Source organism: Homo sapiens, chromosome 12 (assembly GCF_000001405.40).
Source record: "Homo sapiens chromosome 12, GRCh38.p14 Primary Assembly".
NCBI classification, from domain to species: Eukaryota; Metazoa; Chordata; class Mammalia; order Primates; family Hominidae; genus Homo; species Homo sapiens.
In genome coordinates, this window is record NC_000012.12 from 97,743,757 (window position 1) to 97,760,109 (window position 16,353).

At 40.3% G+C, this 16,353-nt stretch overlaps 1 pseudogene across 2 annotated transcripts in view, besides 1 other annotated feature; it reads right to left on the bottom strand.

The window, feature by feature from the left end:
* Positions 1 to 12,761, bottom strand: part of PAFAH1B2P2 (PAFAH1B2 pseudogene 2) — a 43,106-nt pseudogene extending 30,345 nt beyond the window's left edge. Inside the window, exons 1-3 of one of the 2 annotated variants that reach the window (NR_077241.1) lie at positions 9,521 to 9,842; positions 3,504 to 3,728; positions 3,209 to 3,313 (exon numbers count right to left, since the gene is read on the bottom strand). The product of NR_077241.1 is annotated as a PAFAH1B2 pseudogene 2, transcript variant 2 (transcript). Of the gene's footprint in view, positions 1 to 3,208; positions 3,314 to 3,503; positions 3,729 to 9,520; positions 9,843 to 12,681 lie in introns of those variants that run through there. The other variant, NR_077240.1, reaches the window with a different exon arrangement.
* Positions 8,065 to 9,264: an enhancer, noted in NCBI's record as "CDK7 strongly-dependent group 2 enhancer chr12:98145599-98146798 (GRCh37/hg19 assembly coordinates)". NCBI's record gives its function as "activates an origin of replication core promoter dependent on BRD2, BRD4, P300/CBP, MED14 and CDK7 cofactors, with strong dependence on CDK7, by STARR-seq in HCT116 cells {active_cell/tissue: HCT116}" and the evidence as "EXISTENCE:reporter gene assay evidence [ECO:0000049][PMID:35650434]".
* Positions 12,762 to 16,353: the final 3,592 nt, after the last annotated feature.

Below are 16,353 nucleotides of genomic sequence, written 5' to 3' on the forward strand. Positions count from 1 at the left end.
AGTGAACATTTTGGTTGATTCCATGTCTTGGCTACTCTGAATAATGCTGCAATGAACATGGGAGCACAGCTATCTCTATGAGCTGCTGATCTCATACCCTTTGGATATATACTCAGAAGAGGGATTGCTGAGAACAGAATACAGACCCAGAAATAAATCCAAGCACATACAGTAAATTAATTTTTAACATGGGAACCAAGAAGACACATGGGGAAAGGGTGGCTTCTTCAATAATGGTGCTGGGAAAACTGGATATCTACATGTAAAAGAATGAAATTGGACTCTTATATTAGAACATACACAAAGATCATCTAGAAATGAGTTAAAGACCTAAATGTAAGACCTGAAACTATAAAACTCCTAGAAGAAAACACAGAGAAAACATTGGCCTTGGCAATTATTTTTGGATATCCCACCAAAAACTCAGTTGAGAAAAAAAATAAACAAGTGGCACTACCACAAAATAAAAAGGTTCTACACAGAAAAGAAAACAATCAACAAAATAAAAAGGCAGCCTACATATTGGGAAAAACATATTTGTAAGCCATGAATCTGATAAGGGGTTAATATCCAAAATATGTTAGGCGCTTACACAACTCGATAGCAAAAAATACAGTAAATTAAAATAATCTGATTTTAAAATGGGCAATCAATCTGAATAGACATTTCTCCAAAAAAGACAAAAATAGCCAACAGATACAGGCAAAGGTGCTCAACTTCAGTAATTATCAGGGAAATACAAATTAAAAGCACAATGAGATATCACTTCACACCAACTAGCATGGTTATTATAAAAAATACAAGAAGGGTCAGGCACGGTGGCTCAAGCCTGTAATCCCAGCAATTTGGGAGGCCAAAACGGGCGGATCACCTGAGGTCAGGAGTCTGAGACCAGCCTGGCCAACATGGCGAAACCCCATCTCTACTAAAAATACAAAAAAATTAGCCGGGGTGGTGGTGCATGCCTGTAAGTCCAGCTACTCAGGAGGCTGAGGCAGGAGTATTGCTTGAACCCAGAAGGCGGAGGGTTACAGTGAGCTGAGATCGTGCCACTGCACTCCAGATCAGGCGACAGAGTAGACTCTGTCTCAAAAATAAATAAATAAACAAACAAACAAATAACAAGTGTTGGCAAAGATGTGGAGTAAAGGAAACCTTTGTACACTGTTGGTGGGAAGATAATCGGGTACAGCCATTAGGAAAAACAATATGGAGGTTCCTCAAAAGATTAAAAGTAGGATTGCCATATGACCAAGAAATCCTTCTTCTGGGCATATATATATACATATACATAAATTCTTTAATTTTTAAGTTAAAACATATCAAATAATTTTCTTCACTTCAGAAAGCTGCCTCAATCACAAATATCCATTCATTTTCCTGTTTCTTGTTGTTGTTTTTGTTTGTTTGTTTTTTGAGACGGAGTCTCCAGTCTCACTTCTTTGCCCAGGCTGGAGTGCAGTGGCACGATCTCGGCTCACTGCAACTTCCACTTCCCAGGTTCAATCAATTCTCTTGCCTCAGCCTCCCAAGTAGCTGGGACTACAGGCGCCCACCACCAAGCCCGGCTAATTTTTGTATTTTTAGTAGAGACAGGGTTCCACCATGTTGGCCAGGCTGGTCTCGAACTCCTGACCTCAAGTGATCCACCCACCTCAGGCTCCCAAAGTGCTGGGATTACAGGCCTGAGCCACCGAGCCTGGCCTCATTCTCCTCTTCTAATGAGCTGTAGTAGAGGAAAAAGTCTAAGAAGTACTTTCTGCTAGCATGCATTTGCTCTTCATGCCAGGCTGACTTCTAAGGTGGCTTCCAATGATTCCGCTTGATAGTATTCATGCCCCAAGAAATCCACTTCCTGTGAATGTAGGCTGATCTTAGTGACTCATTTCTAATGAATAACATATAACAAAAGTGGTGGAATAGCACTTCAAAAATTTGGTTATAAAAGTTAGTGACTTCCATCTTGCTCTCGCTCTCTCTTTCTCTCTAGTTCTCTCTCGCTCTCACTCTCATTTTCTCTCTCTGGCTCTTTTTTCCTGCTTGCTCTGATGAAGCAATTCATCATGTTTTGAGCTGCCCTATGAATAGGTCTATGTTTTAAGGAACTTGGGGCTGTTTCTGGCCAACAGCCCTCAAAGAACTGAAACCTCTCAATTCAACTGCCCGCAAGAAGCTGTATCTTGCCAACAACTACATGATTGAGCTTGAAAGTAGATTCTTCCCTAAGCAGATTTCCTTTCATGTCTTAGGGTGAGTGCAGCCCCAGTTGGCACCTTTATAGAAGACTGTGGGAGACACTGCAGCAGAAGATCCAACTGAGCTGTGCTCAGATTCTTGACCCACAGAGACCATGAGAAAATAAATGTTTAAGCCACTAAGTTTTGGAGTAATTTGTTATGCAGCAATAGATAACTAATACAGCCTTCTGAAAGTGGAGAATATTGTGGGAATAGATTGGGACCATCATGATTCAAGTGGAAAATGAAATTTGTGTGAGCACAGCAGAAGGACCCAAAGAATAGAGGGCAAGAAAGAAGCTTGGAAGATCCCAACTATTTTCCAAGAATCACCCACTCAAGCAGTTTTTCCTCATCAGCATGTCTGGAAATAACCCTTAATTAGCTAGCTTGCAATACTGTTACTTTGCACTAGTTGCATTTCAAAGTATTTAAATTGTTCAACCTGCTCCAATACATTTACTCCTACTGCTTTCGCCATTAATGAGGCATTCAGCTTTTAGAATCTGGGAGATGACCTAAAGATCAAAGTTAATTTAATTTAAAATCAATGTACTAGAAAAGAAAGACCCTGCCTCCAGTATTGACATTAGGCTGTGAGCTTTTGTAAATGCAGAAGCAAAGGCACATAACAGCATATGCCATGCTATTATTTCCAACCAGGTGAGACTATATTCATGCAGTCACAAAGGTCTACTGAAAAAGATTCTGATAATTGGTCTCCACCTGATTTAATACCACTTATTGGACAGATTTTGTTTGAGCAAGTGAATTGAAAACCACTTCCTGGATTCATTATTGAGTTTTAAATCCCACTGAGTAGCTAAGACCAATATCAATGAATCCTACATTCCTGATATTTTAGAGAAAGTCATTCATAACTGAGATAATCAAAGTGCTTAGATTTATGAACAAAGTTTCTTATAAAAGACTTATGTTTTTAACTGAGTTCTATTGGCAAATTTACTTACTCCTGCTGCAAGAAATAAGAAGACTTTGTAATGCGATGTCTGGAGGCATCTATTTCACTTATTATATTTTTAATCCTCAAAGTCTGTTTTCTGATTTGCAATGGTCTGCAATTACATGGTTTCACAGTTAATTATTTTCTATTCATTCACTCATGTGTTTATTTATTCAACAAATGCTTGATATCTCCTCTGCGCCAAGTACCATGCTAAGTCGTGGAGGTTCAAAGAAGTATAAAATAGTACTTCAGTCAAAATAAACTGGTTTTGCTAGTGTAACTAACAATATTAAAGTTACCTGAACGGCTTATCTCAACCAAGGTTTATTTCTTGCTCACACAGTCTGGGAGGTCCATATGATAGCTCCATGGTAGCTTGGGCTTCCAAATTTGCTCAGACAGGAAGAACAGACTGGGAAGCATGATGCCAGCAATTAAATATCTCCATCAGAGAGAGACACAAGATCTTTGGTTTGCTTCGCCATATCTGCCTCTAAGTAGAAGTGCATTCCCCCCAACAGTTTCTTTACGGAAAGAAGCAGAAACAGAACACACTATTGTCTATCATACACAGACTACACCTTCTGCCCCTTCTTATTTTATTAGCCTATGCAGTCTTGTCTTGGGCATTTACATGATTTCTACAAGGCCCTTAAAATGTTAAACATATCTTGGTGACTCCCATTATTGTTTTCATGGACAGTTAAGACAACAGGGATTCATGTTAGAAATGATCCCCCTGCCTTCCCTAAAGATCCCATGGCCCTTATATCCCTCTGTTCTCCTCTGTCTCTGATAGGAAGGCCTGGTCACCCCTAGAAAGTGAAAAAACCAAGGAGGACATGGCTAAGACAAGTTAGACTCTGAGAATTACTGTGAAGTTTTTCATCATTTATGTCATCATTAGGCCATTTAACCAATATGCATTGAGCATCCCTACTATGTGATGTGTGCTAGAAATGAAATGTTGATCAAAATAGGCATGGCTCAAACTGTATAATGAGGCAGATTGTCAAGTAAACGGGCAATCGCAGTTCAGTGTGGTAAAAGCTATGCTAGAGAGGTGCAGGGAGCTCTGGGAGCACATGGCTGGGGAGACCCCGTGGATAAGGGAAGGTCCCTGGAGAAAATGATGTCTAGGCAAAGGCCTCATGCCTGTGTAGGAATAAGCTAGGTAAAACTAACTGGGGAAGGAGTGATCATTCTAGAAGAACAACAACAACCTGGAGGAAGGAAAGACAGAGGAAAAGGGACACCAAGAAAGAGAAGAGAGAGCAGGTGAAGCTGTTGGCATAATCAGGGAGCTGCAAGAAGCCAAAGCATAGATTCCAGGTGGGGGGATTTTAAGACATGGGATTAGAGAGATGAGGAGAAGCCAGGTTTCAAAGGAACTTGTAAGCCATGAACACAACTTTGGACTTGTTCCTAAGAGCAGAGGGAAGTCGCTGAAAGGTTTCAAACAGGAAAGAGAGTGATATAGTAGATACTTCAGATTTGAAGTAACAACTGCCGTTTACAAAAGCCTGGCAGTTATTATGCTGGTAAAGTAAACAACCCAATGCCTGTTTATAGCAGTCCTGGTGTTTGGCTGATTTCCCTAGTAGGATGATTTATGAGAAAGTAGATGGAGGATTTGTGTGTTTGGTATTAGGAACACCAGGAGAGCCCTTAACACAAAACTATATTTTCTATTCCCTTCCATAAACACTGAAACCCCATTCTTTATTCCTTTAATTTTTTTTTCATTCATCTGGTCAAATATGAATTGAGCACCTGCTATGTACATGGAATAAAGCTAGTGCACTAAAGAAAATGAGATAAGGACAGGGTTCTTGCTTCCAAAAGGCTAAAAGATCTCGTAGCAGGGATAAGATGAGTTTAAGAGGGTGGTGTGTGGGAGGAGAGCAGAGCAATCGGAACCCAGAGGGAGAAACAAAGTTTTCAGGCTGGGGACACCTGGGAAGGCTTTGTGGAGAAAATACCACTATGGCTGGGCCTTGAAAGATGAATAAGATTTTCTCAGTGCTGAGCCGTGTTTTTATCAGAAGTCGTTCAGCTATCCACGAGAGAAACTTAAACTCAAATGAGCTTAAACAAAAAGAGGGCAGTTATTGTTTCACACACAGAGGCACAACTGACTTCAAGCCTAGCTGGATCCATGGCCCCAGTGTTATGATCCAAGCTCGCTCTTTCTCTCTCCATTCCTAGGACAGATCCTCCCTGGTGGACAAAATGTTGTGAAAGGAAAATAAATCCTGGGACCCCCAAATCACTAAGCCAAAGGGAAAAGTCAGGCTGGGAACTGCAGGGCAAGCCTGCCTCCCATTCTATTCCTAATTAAGATAGAACAAAGATAAAAAAGCTACCTACCTACCTCCCTCACAATTTGCTCACAAGGAAATCCCCTGTGGACAAAGGACAGACAGAACTCAAAGTCATTCCTTTGCTCATGTGAGACAAATGCATATCTGACTGCTTCCTTTGCCCTACTGTTTCACTAAGCCAGACTAAGGTGTAAGTGACTATTCCCCTAGATTGTATATTCAGCGAAAGGCTAATCAGAAACTCACAAGAATGCAACTGTTTGTCTCTTATCCACCTATGACCTGGAACACCTCCTCCCCAGATCAAGTTGTCCCACCTTTCCAGACTGAACCAATGGACATTTTACATATATTGATTGATGTCTCATATCTCCCTAAAATGTATAAAACCAAGCTGTGCCCCTACCACCTTGGGCACATGTCATCAGGACTTCCTGAGGTGATGTCACAGGAGTGTCCTTAACCTTGACAAAATAAACTTTCTAAATTTATTGAGACCTGTGTCAGATACTTTTTGGTTCACAATGGCTCTCAACAAACCCAGTGCATTAGTTTCTTAGGGCCGCTATAACAAATCACCATGAGCAGAGCATAGTAGCTTCAAACAACAGAAATGTATTTTCTCACAATTCAGGAGGCCAGAACTCAGACACTGAAAACCAAAGCGTTGGCTGGTTGATTCCTTCTGGGGGTTCCGAGAAGGAATCCATGGCATGCCTCTCTCCTAGCTTTTAGTGTTTGAAAGAAGTTCTTGGCATTTATTTGTTTTTGAGTGCATCCCTCCAATCCCTCCCTCCACCTTCACATTGCCTTTTTTTGTGTTTCTTTTCTGTGTCTCTCAGAAGATCTAAAATCTCCCTCTCTTTTACGTTTGAGGATACCAGTCACTGGATTTAGGGCCCACCATAAATCTAGGATGATCTTTCTTGAGATCCTCAACTCATACAACCTCTGTGAAGACTATTCCAAACAAGGTCAAATTCTGAGCTTCCAAATGTACTTCAATTTTCAGAGGATACTCTTTAACCCACTACACTCAACAAAACCATTCCACTGTCTATAGCAGTGGTACCCAATCTTTTTGGCACCAGGTATTGGTTTCATGGAAGATAATTTTTCCATAGACTGGGGATGGGGGAGGATGTTTTGGAATGATTCAAGCACATTACATTTATTGTGCACTTTATTTCTATTATTATTGCATTGTAATATATAATAAAATAATTAGACAGCTCATCATAATGTAGAATCAGTGGGAGCCCTGAGCTTGTTTTCCTGCAAGTAGATGGTCCCATCTGGGGGTGATGGGGTCAGTGACAGATCATCAGGCATTAGGTTCTTGTAAGGAATGCATAATCTGGATTTCTCGCATGCGCAGTTCACAAGAGGGCTCACGCTCCTAAGAGAATCTAATGCCACCACTGATCTGACAGGAGGTGGAGCTCAGGTGGTAATGCAAGAAATGGGGAGTGTAAATACAAATGAAGCTTTGCTCACTGGTCTGCCACTCACTTCCTGCTGTGCGTCTGGTTCCCAACAGGCCATGGACTGGTATCGGTCTGTGGCCCAGGTGCTGGGGACCCCTGGTCTATAGCACAAAAATCCCACTACCGTCAGCCCCTCATGGACCAAGTGTCAAAGCTGTGGTGGAGGTTGGGCTGTGGAGTTCAGCCTCATCAAAACTACATTGATTGGATTCTTAAGAAAAAAATGCTTCTGATATCAGAACATAAGGCGTGCTGCAGAAATGTCAATGATAGGATCTTGGAACAATCACTGGAAAAGCCTTCTGGAGGATGTATGTATGGCAAGACATTTGGAATCATGATGCCTCCCAACCAAATAGATTCTAGAGGGAAGTTATACTACTGGCTTCCATTCTTTTTATAGATGAGGAGCCAGAAGCACATGGAGAAAGTGATTGAGGGCCCCTGTATCCGACCATCAGTGAAAGGCATTCTGATGGAGGACAGGTGCCACCTGACCTGCATATGTGGAGCAGGAGGCACCAAGAGAGCTGGAAAAACCAGAAAGGGAGAGGAGCAATGCCAGGGACATGAACGGATCTTCAAAACACTTTTTGCATTTATTGCTACAGTTATCTTTGCCTTAGTTTACTTAAGCATTTTACCTATACAGCTAAAAGTTAGACAGTTGGTTTAGTGATGGTTAATACTGAGTATCAACTTGATCGGATTGAAGGATGCAAAGTATTTTTCCTGGGTGTGTCTGTGGGGGTGTTGCCAAAGGAGATTAATATTCGAGTCAGTGGACTGGGAGAAGCAGACCCACCCTCAATCTGCGGGGGCACAATCCAATCAGCTCTCAATGCAGCCAGAATAAACTAGGCAGAAGAACATGGAAGGACTTGACTTGCTGAGTCTTCCTGGCTTCATCTTTCTGCTGTGCTGGATGCTTCCTGCCCTCGAACCTCAGACTCCAAGTTCTTCAGCTTTTAGACACTTAGACTTCCAACAGTGGTTTGCCAGGGGCTCTCAGGCCTTTGGCCACAGACTGAAGGCTGCTCTGTTTGTTTCTCTAGTTTTGAAGTTTTGTGACTGGGACTGGCTTTCCTGTTCTTCAGCTTGCAGAAGGCCTGTTGTGAGACTTCGCCTTGTGATCGTGTGAGTCAATACTCCTTATAAACTCCCTTTCATCTATAAATCTATCCTATTAATTCTGTCTCTTTAGAGAACCCTGACTAATACAGGTTTTCAGACATTACTCTGAAGACCTGTGTGGGAGTCATGTTTGCATCCTTCTTCAGTAATATTAGAAAAATTAAAATAACATAGAACTTTTTAAAACACCAAATTAATTCAAGGCAAAGAGATGTGTTTTGTTCCTAATTATATCCTTTCTACCTTTTTGGTATTTGTTAAGCTTTTATTGTATTTAATCATGGTCACAGTAGAAGGTAATTTTATCTTCTTTCATCTAGTTTTGTGGCCTATATTTGGCAAATGAAAATGATGATGACTCAATATTGGCTTTCCATAATTTTGGGTGGAGAAAATATTTACTGACTCATGACATCCAAAGGTCTGGGATCCCTAATTTGACCAACTGCTATGTCTCATTAGGTAGCCCCCAAGCTGAGCAACCACAGTGAGAAATAAAAGGGACTTCCCTAACCATTTATTTTCTTAAGAGGATAGTGGCTTTGATTCTGAATGGACTTTTACTACATTTGGCATGCTTTAAAAAAGCTGTTTTGCTGAGGATGAGATGAAGTTTGTTAATTGCACTATGGGTTGCTAAGGGACGTGCCACTCTGAAGCGCTGCATGCACGTGGCAACTCCTTAGCACCTGTGGCCTAGGGACCTTATCGCCATTATCCCACGCATTCAAAAACACAATACCCACTTGTTAGTCAAAGCAGCTGACCTAGGAATACCTTCTAAGTCAGTTGAAAAGCTTTGACAATTTTTCAAACAGGAAAATTAGCCAGGTATTGTTCAGAATGGTTGACCTGTGAATTTGATTTTTATTTGTTTACCTACACAGCCATGACACCAAGTTAGCAATAAGCAGACTTCAGCCAAACATCATGGTTGGTGACATCTGAGCTGCACATCATCCACCACATTCCAAGCATGTGTGACCTCCCCCTTCCCCCAATTCCTGTTAGAATAAGTGGAGGCAGGGAGGTCATGGTGAAGGCTTATTAAAAAAACAATCAGACATAAAACAATTGTTTCCTTGGACTTAGAAGGACGAATTTTCTTTGCCTAAGCAGGAAGCAAGGAAATATTCAGGAGAGGCTATTGGCCATTCATCATGTCCCTATGGAGACCAGAGTTTATGTGAGTGATACTATTAGATCTACTTTCTCCACCTCTCCCAGACTATTTAAGTTTTGGTCAATTGCAGCAGAATGAAAGGGAGAAATGTTGAAACTCCAGCAAAGAAAATATATAAGGGCAAACTAGTAGATCAATGCCCTCACCCTCCAGGCCTTAGAACAGAGAAGACAGTAAATATCACCTACCCATTTCTCATTCATTGATTGGTTCAGTCACAGATGGGCTGACCTCGTCATTCATTGATCCATTGCAAATCAAAAATTTTAATACTGACTGTTATATGCAAATTATTCTTATCTTCGGACCATGGGATGGAGAGGTAATAAAAATGAGCCCAAAAGGAAAATGCTTTTAGGAAACTTGTTTTAGTCTGGTGTAGAGACTGTTGGTTTTTGAGGGCCCATGGGTATCTTTTTGGCCTCAAAAGGGCTGAGTAGGTTGGAGGTTTCTATTTCGGAAGAGATGAAACAGTCCATCTGGCTGATGAGGGCTCACTCCAGTCTTCATATCTTAAGGGAGAAAAATAAATACATCATTCATGTTTCTTCCTCAGGGCCAGTCAGTTTCCCAGGGAAGAAAAGCAGATAAATACTTAGGGCATAAGCTTATCTAGGAAGAGTGGGTGTGTCCCCTGGAATTTAAACTCACTGGGGAAGAGAGAAAAAAAGAGTAATCGCTAGCCACCCTGATTCACCATTAACAGAGTTTGTGTTTATTGATATTAATAATTATTATTGCTTATTGGATATTAACAATTTAAGCACATGTTAATGTCTACTCTTATCATCATCACTGGACTGAAAATACAGAAAGTCAAAGCATAGCTCTTACCCTACCAAAAGTTGCTCATTATCTAGTCAGGGAGGAAGATTGGTCAAAAAAAAGACAGCAGAGTCCTGCTTTCAATTGAGCTTTATAAAACACATGATATGATATAAAATCTTTTCATTCTTCTGGTATGTCATTGGAGGGCTGGTTCTATCACAGTGAAAATTATAACTGCCATGTGTATTGCATACTTCCTACTTGCCAGAGCCTATTCTAACTACTTTGCATACATTATCCCATTTACAACCACGTGAAATAGGCAATGTTATTATTCTAGATTTGCAGATGAGGAAACTGAGTCACAGTTAAATGATTTGCATGAGGTTATACGGCTAGTAAGTAGTAGAGCTAACATTCATATTCATGTAGAGTGCACTGAAGTTTCCGTGCATAACCAATATGCTATATTGCTTTGCATCTGAGAGATTGTTATGTCGGAACTATGGCTTAGCAGGCACCAAAGACTGGGCAGAGCAAGCACTTCAGGACAGGTTCTATCAGCCATATCAGCCAGAGATGGTTGTGGGCAATGGGCTGAGGAGATGTGATGTGCCTTTGGAGGGAGCAAATGTAGCCACATTGACAGATCACAGAAGAAGGAACTAGGTAGTCCTCTAAGCAGGTGAATAATAACAAAACTAACATATGGATGACTTGCAAATGACTGTGCTCATCAAGTTTATTTGGCTCCGAACAAAATAAACTAAATATAAACCATCTTAAATAAACAAGAGCATGTATTAGATAATGAAAGTGAAGTGTCTACGGGTACATTAGCTTCAGGAATAGCTCAATCCAGCTGTTCAAATCAAGAATCTGTTTCTTTACCTCTGACACCTGCTTTTTTTGTTGGCTTTATTCTCAGTTTTTCTTTAGGTAGTAATGTCTTATTGCTTAGCAACCATAGTGGAAAAAAAGTTTCTTTTCTCCAATAGTTTATTATTTAATTAGAGTACTTCAGGAAAAGAGAAGAGCAAACAAAACTCTAGGATCTGTTTGGTTGGAGAACACAAGCATTAAATTCCGTGCTGTATAAATAAGGATGTGTAACACTTGGACCATGCATTTGAAGAGTTAATAGTCAAACTGGGGTAATTGACAGGTTTAAAAATAGCAACAGTGCAGGTTGATTGACACTGTTTTTGTTTGTTTGTTTGACAGCGTCTCTCTCTGTTTCCTAGGCTGGAGTGTAGTAGTGCAATCACAGCTCACTGCAGCCTCGATCTCCGGGGCTCAAGCTATCCTCCCACCTCAGCCTCCCAAGTAGCTGAGACTATGGGCATAACACTACAACCGGATAATTTTTTTCTAATTTATTTTTTGTAGAGACAGGGTCTCACTATGTTGCTCAGAGGTTGTCTTTAATTCCTGGGCTCAAGCAATTCTCCTGCCTCAGCCTCCCAAAGTGTTGGGATTACATTGTGATGTACCTGATAATAAATTTTAGGGTACACTTGGGGCTTAAAGACATGAATCAGAGAAGGCCTCAGTTGGGAATCAAACCTTTTCTTCAAGGGTGAAAAAGGTAAAGCTTTCATCATCACACACAGTAAACAAAACTATGGCTGTGATTTCCGTAACAGAGTCTTTGGTAATTGTTTTGTTTTACTTTGTTCACAATAAAACTTGTTGAGAATAGCAGGTTATATCTACATCTGCATATTTGCTCAATGATCTGTGGCATCTTCTCATTGATGTGGTGATGAATCTGAAATCCATCAAGAAAGAATGGAAGAATAAGATTTACTTCACAAAGGTTAACCTTACAATCCAGTGCTGTCATGTTGCTGTGAATAAAGGAACATTTGCTAAGAATTCCCAACTAAAACCACCAATCAAGCTCATTGTCTCCTTCTGGCTTGCTCTCTTTCTCCCTTATGCGCTAAAAAAATGATTTATCTTTTAACTTAGCTTTAATTCACAATTTCACAATTAATTAAACATCAGCCTAATCATTATACCCACAAAGCATTTAAACTGATGTTAGGAGAATGATGGGGAAATGAATAATGCTTTGAAGGTCCATTTCAAATTAGTTATTTGATTAATGAATATTTCACAAGGGCATTTGGGAGATGACCTCTGTTGATGACTTAAAGAAAGACAAGTCTGTTTAGGTAATGAGACGACAAAGCAAGTTTGAGTTATCTCTGGGTGTACGTTGTGTAGAATTACAAGGATTAATCCATACAAAATGTATTACCTTTCCCGTGGCTCGTTGGAGATAACATAGAATTGTAAGATCAATAAATAAAGTTTGGCATTTCAAAGATGCTGCTTGATGATAAACTGCAATGTGCACCCCAGACCGCCAGCTATGAGCACAAGCCGCCCACCAGAGGCTTATGAAAGAAAGCTGGGCTTGTTCCTGATAAGGCCTGCGGTGGGGCGGGCTGTTTGCCTCATAAACTCTCCATAATCCCTCCTAGCACCTGACCTTTCGATTTCTTAGATGTAGAGGAAAAAAATTGGTTGTCACCAGCTTCCTATATATTCAAACAAATAAGAAACAGCTTACCTTGTTTTGTGGTTTAGAAGGAGCCTTTTCTCAGCAGTTTCATGATCAAAAGCACATATTGCAAGAGGGAATCAAATATAGGTCAAAGACGCTGACTGCAGCACACGATAAGAATAGGACAATGAGGAGGAGGTGGTGTAATCACAACCAGCCTGCCTTCTTTGGCAAGAAGCACTTATGGCAATCTCACTGTCCTCATCTTGGACAGTTAAGTTACTTTTCATTCTTAATTATGTTAAATCTTAGAACAGTCAAAGCTGAATCAAACATGGAGGTCATCAGGGTCCCAAAAGGATTGGAGTTATTTGAACATGAAGCAAATACTAGAAAAGGTTTAATTTTTATGGTAAGCAACATAGCACTTGTTTTCCTCCTGAGTTTTTCTTTTTGTCTTGAAATTATGGAAGTGACTCTCCAAAGGCAGGGTTTCTGTTCATTCCACAGATAATAATCCAAAGCCTCCTATTGCTAAATCCCTTCCTCATAGCAAGTTGAGAACTTGAACTCTTACGGACCCTGGGGGATCCCTAGATACCCAGTACAGAGGATTAAAGCAGAGCTTCTGGTTGCAACACACAGGGCAGGTGAGTGGGGCCAGGCTCCAGAGCCCACCTTCCCCCGAAGTATAAAGGATGAGTTAACATCTTCTAAAACCATCTATTAAGCCATTCTAAATGACTTTAACTCTAAGGAAAGAAAGACAAATACCCCTTTAGAAACAGGAGAATTTATGACATGGCTTGGACTTTAAGATTCTACTTCGGGGTAGTAGAAATTTTTGAAATTATAAGATTAACTGTTCAGCTTTAGCCAAGTCACTTAGTGTCTCTCCTGTAAAAATGCAAGCACTTTTCCAGCTTAGAATTTCCTTTCAGTTCAAAACCTCTCTTCTCCTAAGGTTTATTCCTCTACATGGGAGAAAAACAATTCAGGAATCATGGCATTAAAATTGTGTGTAGTCATTGCCATGTGACCGTTAGGGAAACAGATTTTTAGCCTTTTGAGTGGTTGTTTCTCAGAATCTGAGTCCTCAATTTTTTATTTTCATATGTACTTTAACATAAATCACTCAACAGGAAGTTATTTGTTACAGCTTGCATTTATCTGCACTCACTTCCAAATATTATTTGAGACCCAAGTTTCTCATATCATTTCCAGCATTGCGTCATGATTTCAGTGCTTCTTGGCATATTTTGTTTTGGGCTTGAAATATTCTAGCTCATGCATTTCTAAGGTTATTGGCTAGGGAAAATCCTTGCTTTAATTTAGCCTTATAAAGAATCATCTCATGCTGAAGATCTCCCATATAACCTTCCTCCAGGAGATGATTTAAAAGTCAAATGACACGACAAGACTGGCTCTCATTTTTCCTTTTCAAGTCCAGAAAGGCTTTCTCGAAATATTTGGCATCCTACTCTCTGGCAAAGCAGCATCCGGGAATTGCTCAGGATGTCAAGCACTTCTTGGTTTCGTTTCTCTTGCTCTTTTTTTTCTCACAAATGGAGACATCCTTGCCCTTGGAATCAATTCAGGCTTGGGACTAAGGGATTTGAATAAGTCTAGTACCTCTCTCTGGGCCTCATTGTGTCTTCCTCAACATGCCTTTAGTTTGGACTTTGTGTCCTGCTCTAATGACTGATTATATACCATTGTCCTTTCACATTTGTGTCTTCCTGAGAGCTATGGTGTCCTGCTCCTTGAACCGATGACTAATGACTAGAAATCTCATATTATGACCTGAAACTTTCCTGATGGCAGCCACTTGCCTGGCTTTGTTTAAAAAAAAAAAAAAAAAATCTTGTTCTGTTTCAGAAGCGGGTTAGATCTCTTCAAGAGTGCCCTCAGGGATGGCAAGTCACCAAGACTCCAGAAATCTGAACACTTCCTCATTTGTAGCTGACTTTACATTTCTAACTTTGGCTGCCCCTGGAATTCATTTCTTGACACTAGTCCAAATCAGAATTGGTGCCTGGTTTTAACATCCTAGTTGATTCCATCCTCACCATCATGCATTACAATTTCAACAAAGGGCAACACTCTCTTATGCAAATAACATAAGTATTTTCCTTGTTATAAATTGATCAACGTGTAAATTCTTTTTGTTTTACTGTTTGTTGATAAACTACACCACCTTTCAGGGTCTGTATGGGGACCGAGATTTAACAACACAGATAAAATTGGACTGTGACAATCTCAGGTTAGGTTCTTATAAATGCAGCTGTTGTGCTGCCAGATTAGCCATCATCATATCTTGATGCTTCCACTTCTTGCTGAGAAAGACTACTCCCTCTATCAGCAAGCTCACTATTAGGTATGTCTGGTTTCTTGTTTTAGGGCCTCTCTTTCTGGCCCTAGTCCAACCAGCTACACCCTACTTGTCCACATGCAAATAATGCCAAGAAACCTGATGGGAAAATCAGATTGACATAAGGCAGCTTTGCTAACAAGAAATGCTGTATTTTTCAAAAATTTGAATGCTGCCAGTATCATTCCCCTTCCCCACTTATGCCTATTCTATACCATGTTTTCCTTTCATATATGGTGCTACCTTCTCATTAGTATCCCAGTAGGAAAGAGCCTTCATGGAGAAAGGATGCTGACCAAAGTTGTCCCTGTAGAAACCTCTTTCCCTACTTGCATTTTCATGACTGAAACCTGTGGTTATATTTGCTACCTACCCTTTATCACCTGGATTTTCATGAAAAAGATATATTTGAGAAGTAAATATGATAGGAATCTAAAAAGACCAGAAAGTGTACTTCAGGACTGAATCTCCAGCAGAGAGAAGGTGTTTGGCAGAGTAGTTGCAATCTTTGTTCAGAAATGGACCCAATTCAGAGGGCTTTTAGTGTAGTAAATCACACACTTGATAATCATCAGACATGTTTTTTACAGTGAACTATCATTGTGAATCCTATTTTAAGACACTAAATTTATTGTCCCCACTCTGTAAAAGTTCAAAATCAGGGCTATTGTGAGTTTATCATACCTTTAAAATTGGTGAGTCCTCCCCGCCTCTCCCATGCCCAATCCCTAAAGCAAAAGACATTTTTGCACATACAGATACAATACACAACAAGAATCCTTAAGATTTTAGCATATGGCAAATGTTAAATTTGGCCTGTGGAGTAACACCTCCTAAGGAAAAGAGAAGTGAGGGAGCTTTACTGCATAGTCTTCAGTGCAAACCTGCAAAAGTCCTGGGGTCATGGGTGATTGTGTGAAGTGAGTTGAGCTTGTCTCGCTTCGGATCTATTTTTCTTGGACTGTCTGAAGTCAGGTACTTATTGGGGTTTGGATGTAAAGAAAGACAGTCTCTAGCATCCCTGGGATCCTTGGCTGTGAGTATTGTGATTTTGGATGGCGCAATTAATCTATTTCTAGCAATTCTTTTTCTTCTTGGACAGGTTCTTAGGATTTGGGTGCAAAAATGAAAGTGGAAGTAGGGGGAGGGTGCAATACAGTGATTTATACCTTATGTTTGTGGGTTATCTTCAAGCCATTATTTTTGTTCCTTTTTAAGTAACTGAGATCCTCCCAGAGAAGAAAGAATATAGATAACCTCTTACATTATGGTGCCACTGAAAGGACTTGTTCGAGCACATTTCATTGCAAAGCACAAAAACCTTCCTAATTAAAAACACAGAAGGGGTCCTAGGACCTACTTGTAGG